At 37.5% G+C, this 12,620-nt stretch overlaps 1 protein-coding gene across 4 annotated transcripts in view; it reads right to left on the reverse strand.

Moving 5' to 3' along the window:
* PTPN21 (protein tyrosine phosphatase non-receptor type 21) overlaps window positions 1–12,620 on the reverse strand; it is an 89,230-nt gene that overhangs the window by 55,290 nt on the left and 21,320 nt on the right. The window contains exon 1 of one of the 4 annotated variants that reach the window (XM_011536368.3): window positions 4,954–4,972. The exons of the other annotated variants lie outside the window; for them this stretch is intronic. The gene's annotated coding sequence lies outside the window, so the exon portion shown is untranslated. Of the gene's footprint in view, window positions 1–4,953; window positions 4,973–12,620 lie in introns of those variants that run through there. 4 annotated transcript variants of the gene reach the window in all.

Below are 12,620 nucleotides of genomic sequence, written 5' to 3' on the forward strand. Positions count from 1 at the left end.
AACTGGCTTCAAGTGATCTTCCCGTCTCAGCTTCCCAAAGTGCTGGGATTACAGGAGTGTGCCACTGTGCCAGCCTGAAAACCACTATATTTTTAAAAATATCATTTAGTTTCACCCATTCTCTCCACCAACAAAATCAATTACTGACTCCTCCCCTCAAAAGACTTTTAAAATTACCTACATGTATTTGATTACAACAAAATACATTTCTGTTACTATGTTTGTTTTCTGTTCCATCTTAGAACACAAGTTTTGGACTGAATGTACCACATTCGGTCTATAATGCCAGATTAGGAATCCTTTAGGATCTAAAACTGTTTTGGTAAGTTAACAGCAGGTCATTTTTTTTTTTGAGACGGAGTTTCACTCTTGTTGCCCAGGCTAGAGTGCAATGGTGTGATCTCAGCTCACTGCAACCTCTGCCTTCCAGTTTCAAGCGCTTCTCCTGCCTCAGCCTCCCAAGTAGCTAGGATTACAGGCACCCGCCACCACGCCCAACTTTTTTTTTTTTTTTTTGCATTTTTTAGTAGAAACGGGGTTTCACCATGTTGGCCAGGCTGGTCTTGAACTCCTGACTTCATGATCTGCCCGCCTCGGCCTCCCAAAGTGCTGAGATTACAGGCGTGAGCCACCACGCCTGGCTGTATGTCATCATTTTTAACCAAAATGAAAAGGTCTTAAAAATACCCTTTGAATACATTAACTTCCCCTTTAAATACAGTTGGACTGTAGACTGTTCCAAATACAAAAACAGAATTATAAAATTTCTGGTTTATTGTATAATTTGTGGTTGTACCTTTTGTGAATGGACTGTAATATAATTTAAAAAAATAACAGCTGAACAATCTGCTAGCATTCTGTTAAAAAGCACATTCTGAAAGGAAAACTGTTAAAATATGCTAACTTTATCAGTGCATCTATTACTCATGCAACATGAATTAGAAAATCAAATAGAACTGAACAAATACATTTGTTGAAATTGCATCATAATTAGTTTTTCACAAATTATAGACCATAGAAGAGAGTAGCGAGAACTTTATCTAAAGGTACAAACAGCTGAAAAGAATGGTGGGCTTAGGCCGGGCGTGGTGGATTGTGCCTGTAATCCCAGCACTTTGGGAGGCTGAGGCCAGTGGATCACTTGAGGTCAGGAGTTCGAGACTGGCCTGGCCAACATGGTGAAACTCCATCTCTACTAAAAATACAAAAAATTAGCCGGGTATGATGGTGGGTGCCTGTAATCCCAGCTACTCAGGAGGCTGAGACAAGAGAATTGCTTGAACCCAGGAGGTGGAAGTGAGCTGAGAGCATGCCACTGTACCACTGCACTCCAGCCTGGGCGACAGAGCAAGACTGTCTCAAAAAAAAAAAAAAAAGAAAAAAAGAAAGGTGGGCTTAGTAAATTCTTTGTTGGTTAGCTCTTTTAAATAAAGGAGTCTAAGATTTGGGACATCTGAATATTGACTTTGTAGCTTGTCAAGGATAGATTGTTTACATGACTTTCTCGTGCGTAACTATTGTAGTTAAAGTATTTGCTTTGGGACCTGCCCCAATGTTCAAGTTCTATCTTAAGAAGTAGTGAAAGCTAGCCAAAAATCAAATTTATATCTTGTTAAATACCTCCAAGGAGGTATTATATTTCTAAAATTGCTGCTAGAAATGTTTATATACATATGGGTAACTAAATTATTGTAACATTATAATCCTGGATTGAATGCTCTCTTAGAATTTCTACACATACATAATCAAGTCACAACATCTGATTCCATGAGATTTTATGACTACAATATCATCTGTTTCTAAAATAGGTAGGTGGAGCTTGAGCAACAAAGTATTGTGATTAAATTCTCATCAGGCAAAGATTTTTCCTGGGTAAGACCATTTTTTTTTTTGGCTCGTCTTGAATAATAACCTTAAGAATCTGAATAATTAACTTTCCAAAATAATTTAAAATCCATTCAAAAAACAAACAAGGTGGGGAGTGAGCACGAAAATCAAGGAAAAGGAGAGAATACTTTCTAACTCAATCTATAGGCCAGCATTACCCCAATACCAAAGCCAGACAAAAGATAACCACAAGAAAACTATAGACCGACATCCCTTGTAAATATAGATGCAAAAATCCTAAGCAAATATTAAAAAACTGAGTCTAACAGCACACTAAAAGGATTATACACCATGACTAAGTAGGATTCATCCCAGGACTGCAAGGGTGGTAAAACATACCCCCCAAAATCATTATACCATATTACTAAGACAAAAGAAAAAAAACACACATGATCATCTCAATTGATGCAGGAAAAGCATTTGACAAAATCCAACATCCTTAATGATAAAAAACACCTAGAAAACTAGGAATAGAAGAATAGAGAAGAGCTTCTTAACATGACAATGAGCATTTAGGAAAAACCCACAGCTAATATCATACTCCATGGAGAAAGACTGAAAGCTTTCCCCCTAAGATCAGTAACAAGACAAGGATGCCCATGTTCACCACTGCCATTTGACATTGTACTGAAGGTTCTAACCAGAGCAATTAGGCAAGAAAAATAAAAGACATTTAAAGTGGAAAGAAGTAGTAAAACTATCTATGTACAGATGACATAATCCTAGACAAAGAAAATCCTCCAAATCCACCCCCCAACCGTGACACACACACACACACACACACACACACACACACACACACCCCTGCCCTACTCGAGGTAATACATTCAGTGAAGTTTGCAGGGTACAAGATCAACATGCAAAAATCAGCTGCTATATACCAGCAATGTACATGTCAAAAAAAGAAAACAATTCCATTTACAGTAATATCCAAAAGAACAAAATATGTAGGAATAAATTTGACCAAGAAGGTGAAAAGGCATATACTGAACACAACTAAACAGTGCTAAAAGAAATTAAGGAAAATCTAAATAAATAGAAAGATATCCCATGTTCATAGACTGAAATACTTAATATTGTTAAGGTGCAGTACTACCCAAAGTAATCTTCAAATTCAAATGCAATACCTATCACAATCCCAATATGCTTTTTCATAGAGATAAAAAGCCAATCCTCAAATTCACATGGGCCTGCAAGGGGCTCCAAATAGCCAAAACAATACTGAAAAAGAATAACAAAATTGGAGGACTCACACTTCCTTGTTTCAAAACTTATTACAAGAGTATAGTAATCCAAACTGTGTGGTACTGGCATAAGGAGAGACATATAGACAAATAGAATAGAGAGTCTAGAAATGAACCTATGCATCTACAGTCAACTGATTTTAAATAAGGGTGCCAAGACCAGTTAGTGGGGAAAAGAATACTCTCTTCAGCAAATGGTGCTGGGGCAACTGAAGATCCACATACGAAAGAATGAAGTTGGATCCCTACTCCATACCATATATAAAAATTAAGTAAATATAAGAAGCGACCCGTAAAATAGTTTAGAAGAAAACATTAGGGTAAATCTCTGTGATCTTGAATTTGGGAATAAATGCTTGAGTATAACACCAAAAACATGAGCAACAAAGAAAAAAATAGATAAACTTATTTCAAAATTACAAAACTTGCCAGGCACAGTGGCTGATGCCTGTAATCCTAGCACTTTAGGAGGCCAAAGTGGGAGAAACTTGAGGCCAAGAGTTCAAGACCAGCCTGGGCAACAAAGCAAGACCCTGTCTTTACAAAAAATTTTAAAGTTAGCTGGGTGTGGTGGCACACACCTGTAGTCCCAGCTACTCAAGAGGCTAAAGTGGGAGGCTCACTTGGGCCCAGGAGACCAAGGCTTCAGTAAGCTATAATTGTACCACTGCATTCCAGCCTGGGCGACAGAGCAAGACCCTCTTAAAAACACACATACACACGCACAAAATTTAGAACTTACATGCAAAAAAAACCATATCAGGCTAGGCATGGTCACTTATAGCTGTAAACCTAACATTTTGGGAGGCTGAGGCAGGAGGACTGCTTGAGCTCAGAAGTTTGAGACAATCGTGGACAACATAGTGAAACTTTGCCTCTACAAAAAATAAAATTAGCTGAGTACAGTGGCACACACCTGTAGTCCCAGCTATTCAAGTGGCTGAGGTGGAAGGATCACTTTAACCCCAACAGATCAAGGCTGCAGTGAGCCATGATTGTGCCACTGCACTTCAACCTGGGCAACAGAGCAAGACCCTGTCTCAAAAAATAATAATAATAAATGAAGAAAGTAAAAAAAAAACCTACAGAACAGAAGAAAAGGAGAAAATATTTGCAAATTATATATCTGATAAAGGTCTACTACTTGAAACGTATAAAATGACTCTTACATACAGAAAGAAACAACCCAATATTAAAATGGGCAAAGGACTTACACACTTTTTGAAAAAAGATATGAATGGCTAACAAGCACATGAAAAGATGCTTAACATTGTTAGTCATTAGGGAAATGCAACTCAGAACCATAATGAGATACCACTTCACACCAACTAGGATGGCTATAATTTAAAAAATAGGAAGTAAACATTGGTGAGGAGAAACTGGAACCCTTATACATTGCTAGTAGAAGCAGAAAATGGTTCAGCTGCTGTGGAAAAGTTTGGTGGATCCTCAAAACACTAAATATAGAATCACCATATGATCCAGCAATTCCACTTCTAGGTACATACCCAAAAGAACTGAAAAACAGGTGCTCAAGAAACACATGTATATGCATATGCACAGCAGGACTATCTGCAATAACCAAAAGGTGGAAACAAGCCAAATGTCCATCAATAGATGAATGGATAAACAAGTTTGTGGTGTATACATACAATGAACATTCAGCCATAAAACACAATGATGTACTGGTTCATGCCACAATGTGGATGACATTCAAAAATATTATGCTAAGCAAAAGCAGCCAGAAGACAAAAGGTCAAATATTGTATAATTCTGTTTATATGAAACATCTGAATAAATCCCAAGGTGTGGTGGCTCATACCTGTAATCCCAAGGCACTGGAAGGCCAAGGTGGGAGAATTGCTTGAGGCCAGGAGTTCAAGACTAGAATATATAAATCCACAGAGACAGACAGTAAATTGGTGGTTGCTAGGGGCAGGGAAGAATAGAGAATGACTGCCTATGGGATACAGAATTTCCTTTGGGGGTGATGAAAATGTTTTAGAAATAGACAGTATTGTAATCGTACTAAATGCCAATGAGTTGTTTACTTTAAAGTGGTTAGTTGTGGCCAGGCACGGTGGCTCACATCTATAATCCCAGCACTTTGGGAGGCTGAGGCAGGCAGATCATGAGGTCAGGAGTTCAAGACCAGCCTGACCAACATGGTGAAACCCCATTTCTACTAAAAATACAAAAAACTTAGCTAGGCATGGTGGTGTGCACCTGTAATCTCAGCTACTCCGGAGGCTGAGGCAGGAGAATCGCTTGAACCTGGGAGGCAGAGGTTGCAGTGAGCCAGGATCACACCACTGCCCTTCAGCCTGGGCAATAGAGCGAGATGATCTCAAAAAAAAAAAAAAAAAAAAAAAAAAAAGGTTAGTTGTACATTATGTGAATTTCATCTCAGTAAAAAAATGTTTTTAAAGATCAGAAATATTCATAATAAAGTAAATAATTTTATTTTTATTACAATAATTTTTGGGGAACAGGTGGTGTTTGGTTACATGAATACATTCTTTAGTGGTGATTTCTAAGATTTTGGTGCACCTATCATGTGAGTAGTGTACACTGTACCCAATCTGTAGTCTTTTATCATTCACCCCATTCCCATCCTTCCCCTGGAAACCCCAAAGTCCATTACATCATTCTCATGCCTTTGCATCCCCATAGCTTAGCTCCCACTTACAAATGAGAACATAACGATGTTTGATTTTCCATTCCTGAGTTATTCACTTAGAATAATGGTCTCCAACTCCATCTAGGTTGCTGCAAATGCCATTATTTCATTCCTGAGTAGTATTCCATGGTGTGTGCGTGTTTGTGTGTGTCACATTTTCCCTTATCCACTAGTTGGTTGATGGACATTTAGGCTGGTTCCATATTTTTGCAATTGTGAATTGTGCTACTATAAACATGTGTGTGCAAATGTCTTTTTCATACAGTGGCTTCTTTTCCTCCTAGTAGATACCCAGTAGTGGGATTGCTGGATCAAATGGTAGTTCTACTTTTAGTTCTTTAAGGAAGCTCCACATTGTTTTCCATAGTGGTTGTACTAGTTTACATTCCCACTAGCAGTGTAAAAGTGTTCCCTTCTCACCACATTTACACCAACATCTATTATTCTTTGATTTTTTTATTATGGCCATTATTGCAGGAGTAAGGTGGTATAGCATTGTGGTTTGATTTGCATTTTCCTCATAATTAGTGATGTTGAACAGTTTTCCATACGTTTCTGGGCCATTTGTATATCTTCTTTTGAGAATTGTCTAACTCATGTCTTTAGCCCATGTTTTGATGTGATTATTTGTTCTTTTCTCACTGCTTTGTCTGAGTTCCTTGTGGATTCTGGATATTAGTCCTTTGTCAGATGCACAGTTTGCAAGTATTTTCTCCCACTCTGTGGGTTGTCTGTTTACTCTACTGATTACTTCTTTTGCTGTGCAGAAGCCTTTTAGTTTAATTAAATCTCATCTATTTTTGTTTTTGCTGCATTTGTTTTTGGGTTTTTGGTCACAGACTCTTTGCCTAGGCCAATGTCTAGAAGGATTTTTCTGATGTTATCATTTAGAATTTTAATAGTTTCAGGTCTTAGGTATAAGTCTTTGATCCCACTTGAGTTGATTTTTGTATAAGGTGAGAGATGAGGATCCAGTTTCATTATTATACATGTGGCTTGTCAATTATCCCAGCACCATTTGCTGAATACGGTGTCCTTTCCCCACTTTATGTTTTTGTTTCCTTTGCTAAAGATCAGTTGGCTGTGGGTATTTGGCTTTATTTCTGGGTTCTCTATTCTGTTCCATTGACCTATGTTTTTATACCAGTACCATGCTGTTTTGGTAACTATAGGCTTGTAGTCCAGTTGGAAGTCGGGTAATGTGATGCCTCCAGATTTGTTCTTTCTACTTAGTCTTGCTTTGGCTATGGGGGCTCTTTTTTGGTTCCATGTAAGTTTTAGGATTGTTTTTTCTAGTTCTGTGAAGAAAGATGATGGTATTTTGATGGGAATTGCATTGAATTTATATATTGCTTTTGGCAATATGGTCATTTTCACAATACTGATTCTACCCATCCCTGAGCATGGGATGTGTTTCTATTTGTTTCTGTTATCTATGATTTCTTTCAGCAGTGTTTTGTAGTTTTCCTTGCAGAGTTCTTTCACCTCCTTGGCTGGGTATATTCCTAAGTATTTTAATTCTTTTTCCAGCTGTTATAAAAGAAGTTGAGTTCTTGATTTCATTCTCAACTTCATCACTGTTTGTGTATAGCAGTGCTACTGATTTGTGTACCTGAATTTTGTATCCTAAAACTTTACTGATATGGTTTGGCTGTGTCCTCACCCAAATCTCATCTTGAATTCCCACGTTGTGGGAGGGACCTGGTGGGAGGTAACTGAATCATGGGGGCAGCTCTTTCTGGTGATAGTGAATAAGTCTCATGAGATCTGATGGTTTTAAAAATGGGAGTTTCCCTACACAAACTCTCTTCTCTTGTCTGCCACCATGTGAGACGTGCCTTTCATCCTCCACCATGATTGTGAGGCCTTCCCAACCATGTGGAACTGTAAGTCCATTAAATCTTCCTTTTGTAAGTTGCCCAGTCTCAGCTATGACTATCAGCAGCATGAAAACAGACTAAAACATTTACTGAATTCATTTATCGATCTAGGAGCTTTTTGGATGAGTCTTAGGGGTTTTCTAGGTATACGTTCATATCATCAGTGAATAGAGACGGTTTGACTTCCTCTTTACCGATTTGGATGCCCTTTCTTTCTCTTGTCTGATTGCTCTGGATAGGACTTGCAGTACTACGTTGAAGAGAAGTGGTGAAAGTTAACATCCTTGTCTTGTTCCAGTTTTCAGGGGGAATGCTTTCAACTCTTCCCCATTCAGTATAATGTTAGCTCTGGGTTTGTCATAGATGGCTTTTATTACCTTAAGGTATGTCCCTTCTATGCCAATTTTACTGAGGGTTTTAATCATAAAGGAATGCTGGATTTTGTTAAATGCCTTTTCTGCATCTATTGAGATGATCATATTGTTTTTAATGCTGTTTTTGTGGTCTATCACATTTATTGACTTGATATTAAACCAACCCTACATCCCTGGTATGAAACCTACTTGATCATGGTGTATTATCTTTTTGATATGGTGTTAGATTCAAATAGCTAGTATTTTGTTGAGAATTTTTGCATCTATGTTCATCAGGGATACTGGTCTGTAGCCTTTTTTGGAACAAAGCCTCCAAGAAATTTTAGATTATGTTAAATGACCAAACATAAGAATAATTGGTATTCCTGAGGAAGAAGAGAAATCTAAAACTTGGGGAAACTTATTTGAGGGAATAATCAAGAAAAACTTCCCTGGTCTTGCTAGAGATTTAGACATCCAAACACAAGAAGCTCAAAGAACACCCAGGAAATACATCACAAAAAGATCATCACCTAGGCACACAGTCATCAGATTATCTAAAGTCAAGACAGAGGAAAGAATCTTAAAGGTCAGGTGCAGTGGCTCACTCCTGTAATCCCAGCACTTTAGGAGGCCAAGGTGGGCAGACCACTTGAGGCAAGGAGTTTGAGACCAGTCTGGCCAACATGGTGAAGCCCCATCTCTACCAAAAATATAAAAATCAGCCGGGCATGGTGGCAGGAACCTGTAATCCCAGCTACTTGGAAGGCTGAGGCCAGAGAATTGCTTGAACCCAGGAGGTGGAGGTAGCAGTGAGCCAAAATCACACCATGCACTTCAGTCTGGGCGACAGAGTCAGACACCATCTCAAGAAAAAAAAAAAAAGAAAAAGAAGAATCTTAGGAGCTGTGAGGCAAAAGCACAAGGTAACCTATAAAGGAAAACCTATCAGATTAACAGCAGATTTCTCAGCAGAAACTCTACAAGCCAGAAGGCATTGGGGTCCTATATTAGCCTCCTTAAACAAAACAATTATCAGCCAAGAATTCTGTATCCAGCAAAACCAAGCTTCATAAATGAAGGAGAGATAAAGTCTTTTTCAGACAAACAAATGCTGAAACAATTTGCCACTACCAAGCCAGCACTACAAAAAATGCTGAAAGGAGCTCTTAATCTTGAAACAAAACCTCAAAATATACCAAAATAGAAACTCCTTAAAGCATAAATCTCACAGGGCCTATAAAACAGTAACACAATGGGGGAAAAAAAACCAAATTATTCAGGCAACAACTAGCACGATGAATAGAGCAGTACCTCACATTTCAGTACTAACCTTGAATGTAAATGGTCCTAAATGCTTCCCTTAAAAGATACAGAATGGCAGAATGGATAAAAATCCACCAACCAAGTATCTGCTGTGTTCAAGAGGTTCATCTAACACATAAGAACTCACATAAACTTAAGGTAAAGGAGTGGAAAAAGATATTCCATGTAAATGGAAACCAAAAGCAAGCAGGAGTAGTTATTCTTATATTGGGCGAATCAGGCTTTAAAGCAACGACACTTAAAAAAGACAAAGAGGGACATTATGGAATAATAAATGGTCTAGTCCAACAGGAAAATATTACCATCCTAGATATATATGCACCTAACACTGGAGTTCCCAAATTTACAAAACAATTACTACTAGACCAAAAAAATGAGATAGATGGCAACACAGTAATAGTGGGGGACTTCAATACTCCACTGACAGCACTAGACAGGTCATCAAGACAGAAAGTCAACAAAGAAACAATGGACTTAAACTATACCCTAGAACAAATGGATTTAACAGATATTTACAGAACATTCTACCCAACAACTGCAGAATATACATTATTTTCATCAAAACATGGAACATTCTCCAAGATAGACCATATGATAGGCCACAAAACAAGGCTCAACAAATTTTAAAAAAATCAAAATTACATCAAGTACTCTCTCAGACGACAATGGAATAAAACTGGAAATTAACTCCAAAAGTAACCCTCAAAACTATATAAATAAATGGAAATTAAATAATATGCTCCTGAATAATTTTGAATCAACAACAAAATAAAGACAAATTTAAAAATTCTTTGAACTGAATGATAATAGTGACACAACCTATAAAACCTCTGGGATATGGCTGGGCACAGTGGCTCACGCCTGTAATCCCAACATTTTGGGAGGCTGAGGCTGGCAGATCACGAGATCAGGAGTTCAAGACCAGCCTGGCCAACATAGTGAAACCCCATCTCTACTAAAATTACAAAAATTAGCCAGGCATGGTGGTGCATGCCTGTAGTCCCAGCTACTCGGGAGGTTGAGGCAGGAGAATTGCTTGAACCAGGGAGGCAGGGGTTGTGGTAAGCCGAGATTGCGCCACTGCACTCCAGCCTGGACAACAGAGTGAGACTCCATCTCAAAAAAACAAACAAACAAAAAACCTCTGTGATACAGCAAAAGCAGCTCTAAGAGCATTAAATATACATTAAATATATATTAACTCATAGCATTAAATGCCTGTATCAAAAAGTCTGAAAGAGCACACAGACAATCTATGCTCACAACTCAAGGAACTAGAGAAACAAGAACCAACCAAACCCAAACCCAGCAGAAAAAAAGAAATAACAAAGATCAGAGCAGAACCAAATGAAATTGAAACAAAACAAAACAAAAACAAAAAGCTGGTTCTTTGAAAAGGTAAACAAAATTGATTGACCATTAGCGAGATTAACCAAGAAAAGAGAATATCTAAATAAGCTCAATTAGAAATGAACTGGGAGATATTACAACCAATACCACAGAAATACAAAAGATCATTCAAGTCTACTATGAACGCCTTTGCGTGCATAAACTAGAAAACCTAAGGGAGATGGATAAAATCCTGGAAATAGACAACTCTCCTAGATTAAACCAGGAAGAAACAGAAACTCTGGACAGACCAATAACAAGTATTGAGGCTGAAACGGTAATTAAAAAAAAAAAAACTGCCAACAAAAAACAAGTCCAGGACCAGATGGATTCACAGCTGAATTCTATCACACATTCAAAGAAGAATTGGTACCAATCCTACTGAAACTATTCCAAAAGATAGAGAAAGAGGGAATCCTCCCTAAATCATTCTATGAAGCCAGCATTACCCTAATACCAAAACCAGGAAAGGACATAACAAGTACAGATATTTTCAGCTCTATTTTAAAATGTTTAAATACAACAAATTCAGTTCATTAAGTCTAAGAAAAAAAATGAGCCAGAAATAGACGAGCCTATGAGTTCATTACAATTTCTATTTTCTAATATCTATACTTACGTCAAGATTTTGTGCCGTTTGACAGTTAACTGGCAACCTCACGTGAACATAATTGAAGAACAGAGAATAGGGAAAAATGTGTTTGAGCAATCAAAAATACATATTAAAGTCAATGTTATAAAGTATATGCCCTTGACAAAGAAGAAATTTCTCCTATCTCTTTTATGGATTTTTTTTCTTATTTTATACATACTTTTAATGAGTTTAGCGATTTGGTAATCCAATCCAAAGCAGATTAAAAGATGACAAATTAAAGGAAAAGGGCTTATTTAATAATAGCAAGTTGGCAGTAGAGGGAAGTGATGGGCAACATTCTTTTTAGCAAAGGAGAACACGTACATAACAAACAAAAACCCCTTAAATAGAATTTACAAAGAATTACAAATATATGGGAGTCTGGAGTTACTTACTAAAGAAACAAATAACTCCAAACATTAATTAGTCATGTATTCAACAACAATCACTGTTCCTAAAAGCAGAGGTAGTATCCTTTATTTACGACAGATAGAAATTTATAAATTGTTTCCAAAACTTAGCACTCCAAATAGTTTGGACAAAGGAGTCAACCTTGTTTATCAGGCAAAGTTAGTTATGAAGCGCTTCATTTCCCAAAGAAATAACTTATTTCCAAGAAATAACTTATTTTCCAAAAATAACTTATTTTATATAAAGCTTTACAGTACTCTAGCCAATTTAATTGGGGTTTCATTACTTCACTTACAAGTACAAGCATATTTTCCAAAGCCAAACATGAAAGCTGTTTCCATTTCTGTTTTGGTACCTGCTGTTATTTGTTTTTTGAAAGGTTTAACTAGTAGCATAGAAGCTAATTACAGTCACGTGCCGCATAACAATGTTTTAGTCAACGACAGACCACAAATGCGATGGTGGTCCCCTAAGACTGTAACAGCTGAAAAATTCCTATCACATAGTGATGTTGTAGTTGCTAAGTTGCAGTGCAATGCATTACTCACATGTCTGTAGTGATGCTGGTATAAACAAACCTATCGTGCTACCAATTGCACAAAAGCACAGCACATACAACTATGTACAGTACATAACACTGGACGATAATAAATGACTATGTTACTGATTTATGCATTTATTATACTTTTTATTTAGAGTGTACTCCTATTTATAAAAAAGTTAACTGTAGGCCAGGTGCAGTAGCTCCCATCTGTAATCCCAGTGCTTTGGGAGACTGAGGCCAGAGGATCACTTGAGCCAAGGAGTTCAAGAACA

Source organism: Homo sapiens, chromosome 14 (assembly GCF_000001405.40).
Source record: "Homo sapiens chromosome 14, GRCh38.p14 Primary Assembly".
NCBI lineage: Eukaryota > Metazoa > Chordata > Mammalia > Primates > Hominidae > Homo > Homo sapiens.